The 14,486-nt window shown below is 40.7% G+C and overlaps 2 annotated features.

The window, feature by feature from the left end:
- Window positions 5,517-6,139: an enhancer, noted in NCBI's record as "NANOG-H3K27ac hESC enhancer chr21:16665453-16666075 (GRCh37/hg19 assembly coordinates)". NCBI's record gives its function as "activates a minimal SCP1, AML or CMV promoter by ChIP-STARR-seq in primed H9 embryonic stem cells {active_cell/tissue: H9 hESC(primed)}" and the evidence as "EXISTENCE:reporter gene assay evidence [ECO:0000049][PMID:30033119]".
- Window positions 8,286-8,815: an enhancer, noted in NCBI's record as "H3K4me1 hESC enhancer chr21:16662777-16663306 (GRCh37/hg19 assembly coordinates)". NCBI's record gives its function as "activates a minimal SCP1, AML or CMV promoter by ChIP-STARR-seq in primed H9 embryonic stem cells {active_cell/tissue: H9 hESC(primed)}" and the evidence as "EXISTENCE:reporter gene assay evidence [ECO:0000049][PMID:30033119]".

Raw genomic sequence — 14,486 nt, 5'->3', positions numbered from 1 at the left:
GCCAAGGTGTTTACCAATCTCGCTTAAAGCAGGAATGAAGTATTTCCTGTCTGCCAACATCCTAAGCCACTATGCCAGGATATTTTTTAAAAAATTGAAGTTGTAAAAAATGTCTTGTAAAGATAAAAGAAAATCTTGTTTGGAAGAATTTTGTTACAAAGAAAAGAAAAAGTTTACACAAAAACATTAATAGTTAAACTTCCTTCAAATTGAGTTATCTGCTAAAAACAATTATGAGAAGTAAAAATACTAAGCATGATATTATTGCGATCTGCAAGTAGTTAGACGTGTAGAATTTATTTAATTTATTTATTTATTTATTTATTTATTTATTTATTTATTTATTTATTTTTTCATTTTTTTGAGACAGAGTTTCACTCTTGTTGCCCAGGCTGGAGTGCAATGGCGAGATCTCAGCTCACCAGAACCTCTGCCTTCCGGGTTCAAGCGATTCTCCTGCCTCAGCCTCACGAGTAGCTGGGATTACAAGCATATGCCACCACGCCCGGCTAATTTTGTATTTTTTTAGTAGAGATGGGGTTTCTCCATGTTGGTCAGGCTGGTCTTGAACTTCCAACCTCAGGTGATCCACCCTCCTTGGCCTCCCAATGCGCTGGGATAACAGGTGTGAGCCACCACGCCCAGCCAACTTCTTTTATTTTAGTGTGAGCAACATTCCTTCAAAATAACACTTTCTTAAAGGCAGACAGCATTACTGTTATATGCGGGCTGACAATATAAACATTTTATCAGTGTCCTAAGCCCTCACACAGGAAGTAGGGTCATGGGAATATTTTCACAGCTTGCCGTTGGCCTTTCAGGAATTGAGGGTGGAAGGTTGCTACAATCATTTGCTTTTCATATTCTGCTTGTCTTTTTTCATGAGGTGAATAATGCAAGGGTCTGGAAATCCACACTGGGTTGGGGGTTTTGCCTAGAGATCTGTTTAGATTAGCTACCAAGCTTCCCAGCTTGTGGTCATTGAAGGTCACTTGGTTGATGGCTAAAATTTCAATTGGAACCTTGTCATATAATCAGGATTTAAAGCCCAGCTGAGACTTTGTCTCTCCTGTGAAAGGGGAGGTTGTTTTATGATTAGCTTCAGAATGTTAAATTAGGTGTTGGCAATTATGAACCATTTTTGTAGCTAAAATTGCACTATGGAAACACCTGTCCAGAATAGCAAAGTAAGACAGGCTTAAAAAAAAAAGTCATGATTCTCTTATGCACTGATTCTATTATGCATGAATAGTTCTGCTTTCATTATCAAACCCTAGAAGCCACACCTAACCACTCTTGAGAAAAAATACTTTTTGTATCCTTTAACAGTGATTTCCAAGAACAAGCACCAAATTAAGGGTATCTTTTGTATGTGGCACAGAGAAATGATTTGCATAAAGACTCAGTTTTTAAAATGACTGAAATGTTTCCCAATGTATTTCCAATAATGTTTTTTTTCCTTCTAGTAGCAGTCCTCATGTTCTTAGAAAACGTCTATTGATAACCCATAAAATCATGTCCTACAGTGGGCAAGGTTCAATAAATTCTTCTGCTGTTTATTATAAAGGAGACTCAGCACCTTCAAGTAAGAGAGAATTGAGCAAAAAGAGAATCAAGAAGACAGGAAAGAAACTGAATAAATTTCATAATTACTAAAATTGTTCTTATCAAAACAATACATCAATTTTTTTTTTTCACGGACCATGCTGGGATAGGGGCTTAGTACAGAGAGTGAGCAGTGAGAACACCCCACACACACACACACACACACACACACACACACACACACACACACACAGGGTTTATATACATATATACACACAGACACACACATATACATATACACAAACATTTGAATGATATTGAAGTGTAGATTTCCATTTCTGGCTAAGATGGAATCACAAGGACTGAAATCACCCTCCTGCCTAAAACAACAAAACAAAACAATTTAAACAATGGCTTTCAAGAAACTGGACATCGGGCAATGAAGGAAGTGATTTTAAAGTGATTAAGAGTTTCCAGGCTGTAGGATAGACAGGGGGTACCCAAGAAGAGCCCAGCAAACTCCCTGAGTTGCAGAGACAGAGTTGAGAGTCTGGGGAGACCAAAGCAATCAGAGATCACTAGACAAAGAGTATTGGAGAGGAGGGGGATGCCCAGAGTTAAAAAAACAAAAATCTGCCAAGAGTTCCTCTCAAGTAGCATTCAACATAGTACTGATCAGCACATACATGTAAGGAAATGACTGAAGGGTAAGAAAGAACCATCTAAGAAGATTAAGGGAACAGTGTCTGGAATTCACACAGGGCCTGGAATGGTGCTTCTTCTTGTCAAACTGGGAAAATCGCATAATTCTACCATAACAAGGTAGAAAACTCAAAAGGATCTTGATCAGTCCTAGTAAGCACTATTCTGGTGCCTCCTAACAATTCTTAAAAGCAAGACCTGAAAATGACAAACTGCTTCCAAGAAATTTTCTATGCCCCCAGATCAAAATTCAAGAATATTTGTAGGAGTGCAAATCACCTGGGTTCAAATCCCATCTTTGCCACTTACCTGCTGTGTGACCTCAGGCAAGTTACTTAGCCTCTTTGATGCTCTGTTTCTTTATCCTTGAAGTAAGTATAATGATACCTATTTGATGAGGTTGTTGTAAACATAAAGTTAATCTCAATATATGTAAAGTATTTGTACATGGTAGCCTCTCACTAAATGCTGTCCAGGAGTGTCTTTCCAAAAAAAGATAAATATATACATAATATGTAAATTATGTATATATGTGTGTGTGTGTGTATATATATATATATATATATATATATATATATATATATGCTTACACATAACAAGCATGGAACAAGGTAAAATTCACAGTATCTGACATACAACCAAAGATTACCAACATGCAAGAAATGGGAAAATACAACCAATAGTGAAGTTCAGTCACTCAATTGAAACTGACCCAGAACTGATACAGGTATTAGAATTAGCAGAAAAGGGTATTAAAACATATGTGACTGTGTTCCATATGTGCAAAATACTAAGTGGAGACATAGAAGATATTTAAAAATATCTAAGTTGAATGTCTAGAGCAGGAGTCCCCAACTCCTGGGCCATAGACTTGGTACAGTGGCCTGTTAGGAACCAGGCCACACAGCAGGATGTGAGCTGTAGGCAAGCCAGTGAAGCTTCATCTGTATTTTCATCCACTCCCCACTGCTCACATTACCACCTGAGCTCCACTTCCTGTCACACCAGCGGTACCATTAGATTCTCACTGGAGCACAAACCCTATTGTGAACTGCACATGCAAGGGATCTAGGTTGCGTGCTCCTTTTGAGACTCTAATGTCTGATGATCTATCACTGTCTCCCACCAACCCTAGATGGGACTGTCTAGTTGCAGGACAGTAAGCTCAGGGCTCCCACTGAGCTTATTCTACATTATGATGAGTTGTATAATTATTTTGTTATATATTACAATGTAATAATAACAGAAATAAATAGCACCATAAATATAATGCACTTCAACCATCCTGAAACCATCTCCCCCACCCCCCGTCCGAGGAAAAATTGTCTTCCACAAAACCAGTGCCTGGTGCTTAAAAGGTTGGAGACCGCTGGTCTGGAGATGTTCCTGCACCTCTACGATTTGAAAATCACGTCTCTACACTGGAAAACTACAATGTGTAAGATGAAAATACACTGGATAGGATTTATAGTAGATCAGATCCTGCAGAAGAAAAGGCTAGTAAACTTGGAGATATCACAATAGAAACTATTCAAAATGCAACACACAAACATACAGAAAAAAAGAAAAAATGAACAGATCATCAGTGAGTTTGGGAGTAACTTAAGCAAATTGTATATTTTAAAAATATTCAGTCAATTGTATGTCAGTTATACTTCAATAAAGCTGTTTAAAAATAAGAAATTTGATAGTATGCTGAAGAAATTTATAGTCTAGTCATTAAATCAAGGAAGATTTATAAACAACACGCTACATGGTAGTATAGACTGTTACCACCTTACAAACACTAAGGTAACATGCATGCTAAACAATTCTGACTAATAAAATTAAATCATACTTTTTCCATACAGAGAACAGTTTTAGCATCTTATACTTTTTAATATCTTAAACTTTTCAGCATCTGATAGCAAATCTAATGTTACTGAAATAACGTTTGGAATAACCTCTTTTAACCTTTGTAAAGTACATTATCCCAATTCACATTTTCAACATACAATTAATTTTTTAGAGATAAAACTTTTGAGTAGATTTAATTGCCAAAATAACTACCTAGGAAATGGAAATAACCTTCAATTATGAACTATGATCAAAGAGAGCTTTTTCATTTTTCATATTGTTTTGTGAAATGACTTTCATTCCCCCATCACCTTCTAAGTAACTTTGACATAACATTTATTTTTTATCACTAATAAAATACTTTTGGTTGAATACAATTTAATGAGACAAAGCCTTTGGCCAATTCTAACACAAATAGATTTATATTTGGGGAAAAGGGGCAGCCAGGTGCTAAAATGAAGCTCTCTTGTCTTGATATCATCCATGTTTGAATGCTTCAACCAGACTTTGTGGATGACCATTGCAAGGTATGAAGGTTTACTAAGGCTGACTTCTAAATTAGTAACAAGGAAACATCTCCTGTCATTAATTCACTGAGAGTACATGGATCTCCCCAGCAGGATTGGAAAACCAAATTTATCTTATTCTTTCACCATTCTCAAAAACTTTGCCTCATTGTTCCCTAAATAAATTAACTTCTGAAGGATAAAAATGAAGAAAATGGATAGAGAACTTAGAAGCTGTAGAATAACAATGGAAAGTCCTCATCTCTGAGTAATGTTTTTGGAAGAGTAAATAGAATTTTATGTTAGCACATTTTCTTTATTCTAAAAGTACATCAGTTACACAGTGAACCATCAGTTTAAGAACTTGTTACATTAAGTGTCCACCTAGATTGTAAGATGCAACCCAATGTCAGAAACATTTGAGCCTTTGAATCAAGGAAACTTAACCATAATCAGAAGTTTAAAATTTTAATATACTTTAAACAAATATGTATATGAAAAGAGAACCTTGAAAGTAATACATCAGCTTCAATGCAATTTATCTCTATAGATAAGTTTAAGGAAACTTTCAAATATATATGATTTTACACCTGAATTTATTTACCTCCAGCTCTTTCTACGCATTTAAAAATTGTATGGCCATGGTGCAAAAGAAGGAATGAGTTTCTGTAGCCAGGAGAAGTGTGATTATTATTAGGTAGATTATATTTATTTTCATTTTACTTTTAAATAATTGCTTCTAGAAATTTGAATCTACCTGAATGTTACCTAATTCTTCCTCACATGTTTAGCTTAGGGTCTATCTTAAATTGCATAGTGAAATATTTTGTGTATGTACCTTGCTCAGAAAAGTAAAAGAGATAATAAGTTTGAAAATATTTCAAAATTATAAGTACAGTTTATAAATTGACTCCCCTTTCATTAAATCTGTCTCAATCAACAGTCTGCTCATCAATAATTACTCATTGAAACTTAACATATACAAAGTATTTCATTACACTTTCATCAAAGGTGGAAACACAACCAAACACTAAAATCTCTAAAATGGTAATATTATCACATTGAATATGAACACTGGAAGTTGTTTCCTTTACTTAAATAAATGATGTCATTATCACTGGCTGAGTAGCCAACAGCTGGAAAGTAAAAATGTTTTAAGACTAGAGGAATGGAATGGGAATGTGAGGCTCCCTGGGACTCTTGGAAAAGATAGAATCTATGAAGGAGGAGGTTTTGCTTCTATCTGGCTGAAATACCTTAGACATGACTCATTCAGTAGTCAAATAAGGCAGCCTTGAGTGTGACATTAATCTGAGGGAAAACAGTGCCTCTCCCACCATTCATTTTCAGGGCCTGACTTGCCTGCTCCTGCCTGTTTTTCTTGTTCATTAAAGCTCTCTTCATTTCATTACTCTTCTGTTTTCTTGCTTGGTTCCCATCAGTGCTTCGCTTCTCACTAATTGCAATTCTTATGAACTTCCTCCAAAGTAGCTGGTGCATGTAATCTGGAAGCGAGCTCCTAAAATGTTTCTCATTAGTATACTGTAAGAGTTAGAACATACCAGGATTTCAAATATTTTGGAAGATCTCTACCATTAGTCTTGAGTTTGAAAGACTTGCTTTATGCTAGTAGCCACCTGGATCACTTTCTTTTTTCACTGTTTTGAGAAATTCTTCCATATTAATGTATATAAGATTCTGTTTGTGCATTTTTCTGGAAGAAGTTTCATAGTTCACATCACATTCTGAGATATCTTTTCCTTCCCAAAAGGATGAAAATCATGGTTCCATGTGCTTTCTTCACTCAACTAGTGTTTATGAAGACTGTATTATAATCCAAATAGTATGTTTAATACTGAGAAAGAGAGGTGAGTAGTAGCTTCTTTCCTGAAGGAGTTTTTTGGGATAGACAAACATCTAAATTGACCACCGTAGTACAATGTAGCAAATTCTGTAATAAAAGTTGCTGAGTGCTTTTTAAGGACAGAGGAGGGAGAAACTGAGTCTAGGAAAAATTAGAAAAGTGTTCATTCAAGTTGGGACATTGTTCGTGGGTCCGAAAGCCCAAGGAGAAGATAGGTGTTGTTGTTGCATTCCTTGGATCATGCTTGGATAATACACAGCCATTGGGGGTTTAGAGACTGATAATTCAAGTCTCTCACCAGTACTTAAAAGGAGTGTAGCCCAAACTTTAACTGATTTCAGAGATTCTACTGACTTCTCTCCCTGTAAGAGTCTCTTCCACTTCCTAGTTACTTCTAAGTTTTCTGCAATATAATTCTGCATGCATTTTGAAATTACTCTGTCTGGGCATCCCTCTCCGGCCTGCTTATTTTGTCCCCAGGCTTTTGCTCTACTACTAATAACCCTCAGAAAGTCTCTTCTCTGTTGAGCACAGTGGGCTGCCCATAACCACTGGTGATTCCTCTAGTTGGGGCCCAGAAGTCCAAGTCCTGGTATGTCTCATCACTTGGTAGCGGGGCTAGGCATGGCCACTTGAGGACAAAGGACTCCATTACTGCCCCGAGATGATTGCTCAAAAAGCTGTCTCTTCTGTGTTCTACTGTTCTTGCTATGACTGCAGCTGGCAGTAAAAAGGTCAAGGTCTGTGATTATACTGCCTCCTAGCCCGCTTCTCCGTAACCAGGTGTATTGGATACCATTGGTGTTCCTTCACATCTCTGTTGCCAGTTTTTTATGCCATTCCCAGCTCTGTGATCTACTAACTGCTTGCACCTGCAGTTTTTCAGTGGCCTGCTCTTGAGTGCCAGAAGCAAAGCTGGAAGTATCTGGAGTTTACAAATCCTCATTCCTATCCACCTTTCCCAGCCTGTAGCCAATGACTAACTGCTGCTGCAAGCAGATGCAATTCAAGCCCATTTGCCTCAAGGCAGGGCAATGTCTGAGGTGGAATATACACTCTAGACTTCCCCAGAGGGTAGAGCCAGGCTGGGACTTTACCTGAAATTACACCCTTTCTTGGCTTTTTTCCCCTCATGTAACCTGCTTCTCCTGTACCCTTTCCTATTTCCTCTCCATAAACCACTTACATGCAAATCCTCTCACATCAGAATTTGTATTGTGGACACTCAACCTAGAATTCTAGATTAATACCATGCCTGGAAGTCCCTGGTCGTGAGGAAGTAAGATGTTTCTCCAATCCCCAGATCAAACACATACCTTATTGCTTGTCCCATATTGAAAAAATTCCCAAGATGTTTGACAATGATCACATTTTTTTCTTTTTCAGGGAGAAAAGTGTGGCTTTGCCTCAAGGCACCAACAAGGTGATTACAAAATAGACTGATATTAGTATTTTCAATATCTGTATTATACAATCCATGGTCATGAAACTTTTTTCAGAGTTTGAGCTGGGGTGGAGGGGAGAGGCTAACGGTACACAAATATTGCAGAAGAAAAGATTATCATAAGAATTCCAATATGATTGGAGGAGAGTACATGCAGCTATGAATAGTAGAAGATGAGAATCCAGATGCTGGTGGACTTTACACCACACTAAACAGTTTGACCTGTATCCTACAAACATCAGGGGTGTTTAAATGAGGTAGAGATAGGAAGCAGTGCATTCTTTTTATTAATAAAAGATAAAGGTCAGAATGGACTGAAGGAAATGACAACGGGAGATGACTGGACATACAGATTGAGAAGTCATCTGCACGTGGAAATATAGCTCATAATATAAGATAAAGCTGTTGATAAAAATGGGATCATGTACGGCTGCTGTAAAAGAAAAGAAATGAAGATCAAGGATCGTACCTTTATATACTGAGGGAACACCCACACAATGCAATAGGTGAGCCCATTGAAAGGCGGAAAAGCAAATAGAAACTAGAAGAGATTAGTGATGGCAGCGGTGGCCCGTCTAGAGCAGCTGCTGCCATGACTCCAGCTGCACTCGGGGAGGCGTGGCTAGGGCTCTGTGCTGCGTGTAGCCGGTGGGAGCCGGGACAGAAGCCCCACCCCCTTCTCAGTTGACAGGGTGGAAGCTTCGCACTCCTTGGGCGCAGCTGCAGACCCAGGCCTCCCTGTACTCTTAGGGGCCGGGAGCAGGCAGGAGCCCCACCCTACAGGGTGCAGCTGAAGCTGCCCAAGCTGTGGCTGTGGACCTTGGCATCTCTGCACTCTCAGGCCCGGGAAGGTCCCCTGCTCCTGCAGGCTCGGAAGTGTGTGCTCCCGCTGCCTGGCCTTTCCTTGCTCCCAGCGCCGACTCCGATCTCAGAGCAAAGTTGAGGCCAACCCTGGGCACTGTCACAACCCGGCTGGGTGTGTGCTCTTTAGAGGCAATGCTGACACGCCAGCCCCCTGCTGCCTCAGGCCCCCCCAGACTTCGGGCCCCGATGAGCACAGGAGGGAGGCTGAGGTGATGCTGAGGGTAGCTCGTCACTGGCCTGCAGGCTCCCCTCAGCACGAACAGCCTGGGCACCATGAACAGCAGCCGGAGGCAGACAGGCTCCTGGGCAGAAAGGGGCAGGTCCCCCGTGAAACCCCACCTTCAAGCAAGGAAGGCCTGAAGCCTGGGGGCAGGACTGCCTGTCCCACAGAGGAAGTGGTAACCTATGGTGCTTTGTCTGGGCCCATCTACGGCTGCCCATGGACTGATCAGCATGCACTTCCTCCCTCTGAAGCCCGTAACCGCCTCCACCCCGACCCACCCACTCAGCCAGACTCGGAGAGTTGATGGGACCACCAACTGCAGAGAGGAATTACCCACCCTAAGGTCTCCTATCTACTGAGAGCTCGACACTTGTCAGGACACCCTGTCTGCGGAGAGGAGCTAAACACCACAGGAGCTGCCCACTGTGGGTCTCCTCTGAGCTATTCTGTTGCTCAATAAAACTCTTCTTTGCCTTGCTCACCCTTCATTTGTCTACATACCTCATTCTTCCTGGACACAGGACGAGAACTCAGGAACCACCGAACAGAGGGGCTAAAAGAGCTGTAACACAAACAGGACTGAAACATGTCCCTTGCTCATCATGTAGCAGGTGACAAGAAGAAGAGAAGAGAGAAGGAGAGAAGACTTGCAGTCCTTCAGGGAGCCCAGACCTAGGACGTCCCCAGGCCAGGGCTGTGACACCCTCTTTGGGGCTCCGCGGTTCCTGCCATCTCCAAGCTTCTGGGTACCACCACTGTCCCCGGTGCCAGCTATGGAAGCTGCTTGCAATACACCTGGTCAAGCCGCAACCTTGCAGGGAGCCGGCACCCGTGCTGGCACCGGGAGCTGCGTGCCCAGCCACAGCCAGCATTCCTGACTTGTGCGCAGTGCCCGGACCCCACGCTTGCTCATGCACCCCTCACCGCTCTGTGCCTGGCTCATCCTTGGCAGGCATGGGATCCAGGCTGGTAGTGTGAGCTGAGTGCAGCCTGCCAGGCCAAGTGGGTGGAGCAAGCCCAGCAGGCCCAAGCAAAACTTGGGCAAAGGTGCCACTGGCCACAGAAGTTCCCGGCTGGTGAAGTGATGCCCAAGAATCTCGTGACATTAGTACCACAGAATTCCTACAAGAAATAATATCAAGCATCAAATACTGTAGGGAAATTAAGCAATGTGACCAAAAGCAAAAGATTTGGTGATGAGAATGTCATTTGTGGCTAAAGGGAGAACAGTCTTCTTAGGGTGAAGAGAAAGAACACTAGATTGTAATAAGTGAAGGACTGTTTGAAACTCGAGAATATACAGCCAGTAAGTGTGTTCTTTTTTTCTTTTTTTTTAACCTCCCCTCACCCCCTGACAGAGGAATTAATAAGTTGCTTAAATAGGATGTAGGGATAAAATAACATATTTTTGAGGGTGAGGAAGACTCGGGCATATCAGTATAACTCTGGAGGAGGGTTTCAGAAGAAAAACGAAATGTGGAATATTTACAAAAAGGGGACCTAAGTGGTGATCAAGGTCCTAGAGTATGGGGGAAGGATGTTATATCAGTCAGGGTTCCTCAGAGAAGCAGAACCAAAAGGATGTGTATAGGAAGAGATCTGTTATGAGGAATTGGCTCACTCAATTATGAAGGCTGAGAAGTCCCATGATCTGCCAACTGCAAGCTGAATCCCCGGGAAAGCCAGTGGCTAATTTCCGTCTGAGTCTGAAGGCCTGAGATTCAGGGGAGCCGGTGGTGTAAATCTCAGTCCATGGTGTCCCAGCTCAAGCAGGCAGGCCAGAAGCAAAAAGCGACAAATTGCCCCTTCTTTCCCCTTTTATGCTATTCAGGCCCTCAATGGATTGGATGATGCCCACATATATTGGGAAGGGTGATATTTACTGAAGCCACTGATTCAAATGCCAATATCACCTGGAAATTCCCTTTCAGACACACCCAGAAATAACGTTTGAGCACCCCTTGACCTAGTCAAGTTGATGCACAAAACTAACCATCACAGACATCTTAGAGAGAAGCCCCAGGGATACCTTGCTCTAAAACAGGAGAGAAGATGGGTAAGAATGGATTCCGTAAGCAGAGGCCAGCATGCCAGGGAGAGAGGGTCCCAGTGGTCCTTCCCTTGTTTGAGGAATCAGGCAGAGTTGACTGGTCGGGCTTAGAGAGATGGAGTTAGGAAGGCAAAATGAGCAGAATAAAAAAAAATCTGAACAGTAAACACAGGAAATATAAAAGGGCCAAAATTATACACAGGAGAAAGAATTATCTAGTGGTATTGAGGGACCAGTTGGTTTGGGATAGACTTGTGGTGGTACCATTCAGCACCTTTACAGAATTCTAACGTTCTGCACCAAGGACAAATAGTAAAGAAAAAGGATGGTTACAAATAAAAAGAATGGGTGTATTTGTTTTTGATTGGATATTACCATTGTCATGGCTGGGAGTAGATAATGGCTAAAGAAAGATGAAATAGAGGAGAAGTTGAGGGTGCTGATGGAAGTGCATTCATGTAATTGAACCACGATGTCTAGGTTGAGTAGGAAAGAGATCGATTTCAAAAGGAAATTGTCCAATCTGGCAAACCGGTAGGACATATCAGGCAAGGAGGAGAGGATAAAGCAATCTTCAGAGTCAGGACAAGACTTCACAAAGTGTAATGATAGTAAGGGGAGGCCCAACACAGGAAGAGAGTATGTGCTGTGGGATGGAGGTGGACAGCTGGTGGACATTGAAAGCCCAGTGGAGCTGGTAAGCTAACTCCACACACACAGAGAAGGGGCAAATCCCAGATGATCTTTGAAAGGAAAGAATGCAAACCTTAATGGAAGCTGAGACATAGAGAATGACAGTAAGAAGTGAAGACAAAGATGATACCCATATTCCTAATTTCTTGCCCTGAAAACTAGAAGGATAAGAATATCCCTAACAGAACGTCATAAACAGGGAAACAGCTCCAAGTTGAGAGGGAGATGAAGTTAGTGTAAGTTAGTGTAAGATGTGAGGAAACAGGCAAGTGAAAATTTCCTCTAGACTTCTGGAAATACACTGAAAATATGAACTGAAATATTCTTGGGGTCAGGCCTAGAGTGTTCTGTTTTTAGATCTCAACAACTTCTGGCCTTGTATATTGACCTGTTGTCACTAGGACAAACTTCCCCCACACCATCTTGTTTTCTCCAATGATTAACAACTTAAAATGTATACTATGGACATTCAGAATAATTAAAACCTAGCAGAAGCCAAATGCAGTGGCTCATGCCTGTAACCCTAATGCTTTGGGAGGCCGAGACAGGAGGATTGCTTAAGGCTAGGAGTTTTAGACCAAGATATATAGCACAGTGTGATCCTGTTTCTACAAAATATTTAAAAATTAGCTAGGCATGGTGACATTTGCTACTTGGGAGCCTGGGGCAGGAGGATCATTTGAGTACAGGAGGTTGAGGCTGCAGTGAGCTATGATTGTGCCACTGCACTCCAGCCTGGGAAACAAGAGTCATTGAGACCCTGTCTCAAGAAAAAAAAACATCTGGAAGGCAAACATAAAATATTTCAACTAGAACACTAAATCACAGATGGAATTCAGGATACTTATCACTTTTGTAAAATAACTTGACTTGTAATTGATAAGCAGCAGTATGGTGATGTTGGAGCTGGATAGTGATTGATTCACACACACTGAGGTGGGAGTGGATGGGAGTGGAGAAAAGAAGAGCATCTTGCCATGCTTATAAAAGTTATCAAGAATTGGCTTAAATTATAGTTCAGGTCTGCCTGGGGGAGTTATCAGGATACTCTGTATGGACAAATGCATAATTTCTAGCCATTAGGATACTTAAAACTCTAGGCAGTGAAGTGACTTAAAGTACGTATACCCTAAGGGCCTAATGGAGTTAATTCTCCTTCAGAAACCTAGACTTTATTTTTCTCTTCAAAGGCAGATCATGCTCATCATATTGAAAAATAATTATTCATCATAAGTACATATGTATTAGTAATTTATGGCTTACAAATATTGTTTCTAGAGCTCTTCTCTTATCCATAGCACTGTATAAATCGTCTTTATTAAGCTGAGTCCATGAGCTATACCTGCTAATTCTGAGGTTAATGCAAAAGACATGGAGATTAGCCTCTCAATCCAACTAACCAATCGTTCCTTCTTTATATCTCTTTTTTTTCTTTTCCTACTTGAGTATTGCCACTTTGGCACAATAAAGTTTTATATTTCTTATTAGAAAAAGTAAATTTTTTTTTTCAAATTAAAATAATACACTAGTTTGGTGGTTCAATCTTGCATTATTTCTTCCATTCAAAGCACAGATAAAATAGCTTATCCCAAAGGGCATGCAGTTATTATCCAACTTGGTAGACTTAATTTATCAGCTTCCTTCCCAAGTATTTAACGAAACAATTCTATCCATAGCCCAATAAAATCCCTTTTTATCACCAAGGGTGTATCCTTCCGGTGACTGACCAAGCACAGGTGTTGTTCATGAGGACTTGGATATGAAATGCTCTCCCCAGAGTGCACAACTCCTTACAAGAATATTCAGAGTACAGTGTGTTCCAGGCATGCAGCACCTGTTACTCACTTGTTTAAATGTCTCATGAAGGGGACAGAGAAAAAATAGTTTCTCTCTGTCTCTGCGAACATACATAAATTTAGCATACAGTTCTTTTTCGGCCAAGCACAAGTTTGAATTACCTTAAGAAAGGCCATAAGATATAATTTCTTGAAGATGCTCTTCACATTACAATTTATTCCATAAAATAAGAGAGGAGGTGGTGGCCAGGAGAAGGGAGGATAAAGATGGAGATAAAAGAAATGAAAAATAAAATGGAAGGCAAGATGGTAAATCCAGAAATGAAGCTGGGATAAAAAAAGAGAACTCATGAGTTCATCCCGACTAGTAGTGTTTGCATTATGTCAAAGTATTTGATGTTCTAATTCTATTCACTTCTGGTCATGTGAAATCCAGGTAACTGGTTTTTAAATATTGAAAAATCACTTTCTATGTATGAACATGTTATTGACCAACTTGACTTAGGAAATAGACTGAGTTTGTATTATTTTTCCTGTATTTTGAGATGCACTCAATCTAAATAGGAGACCTGAATGTTTTCTTCTCCCATGAGACCAACCAGCCTTAATCTCATTAAAATCATACTGGTAGCTAGGTATGGTGGCTCACACCTGTAATCCCAGCACTTTGGGAGGCTGAGGCGGGGGGATCACTTGGGGCCAGGAGTTTGAGACCAGCCTGGCCAACATGACGAAACCCTAAACTACTAAAAATACAAAAATTAGCAAGGTGTGGTGGTAATCCCAAGGTAATGCCTGTAATCCCAGCTACTCTAGAGGCTGAGGCATGAGAATTGCTTGAAACAGGGAGGCAGAGGTTGCAGTGAGCTGAGATACTGCCACTGCACTCCAGCCTGGATGACAGAGCAAGACTCTGTCTCAAAATAAATAAATAAATAAATAAATAAATAAATAAATAAATAA

Source organism: Homo sapiens, chromosome 21, assembly GCF_000001405.40.
Source record: "Homo sapiens chromosome 21, GRCh38.p14 Primary Assembly".
NCBI lineage: Eukaryota > Metazoa > Chordata > Mammalia > Primates > Hominidae > Homo > Homo sapiens.
This window is presented reverse-complemented; position numbering and strand designations above follow the sequence as displayed.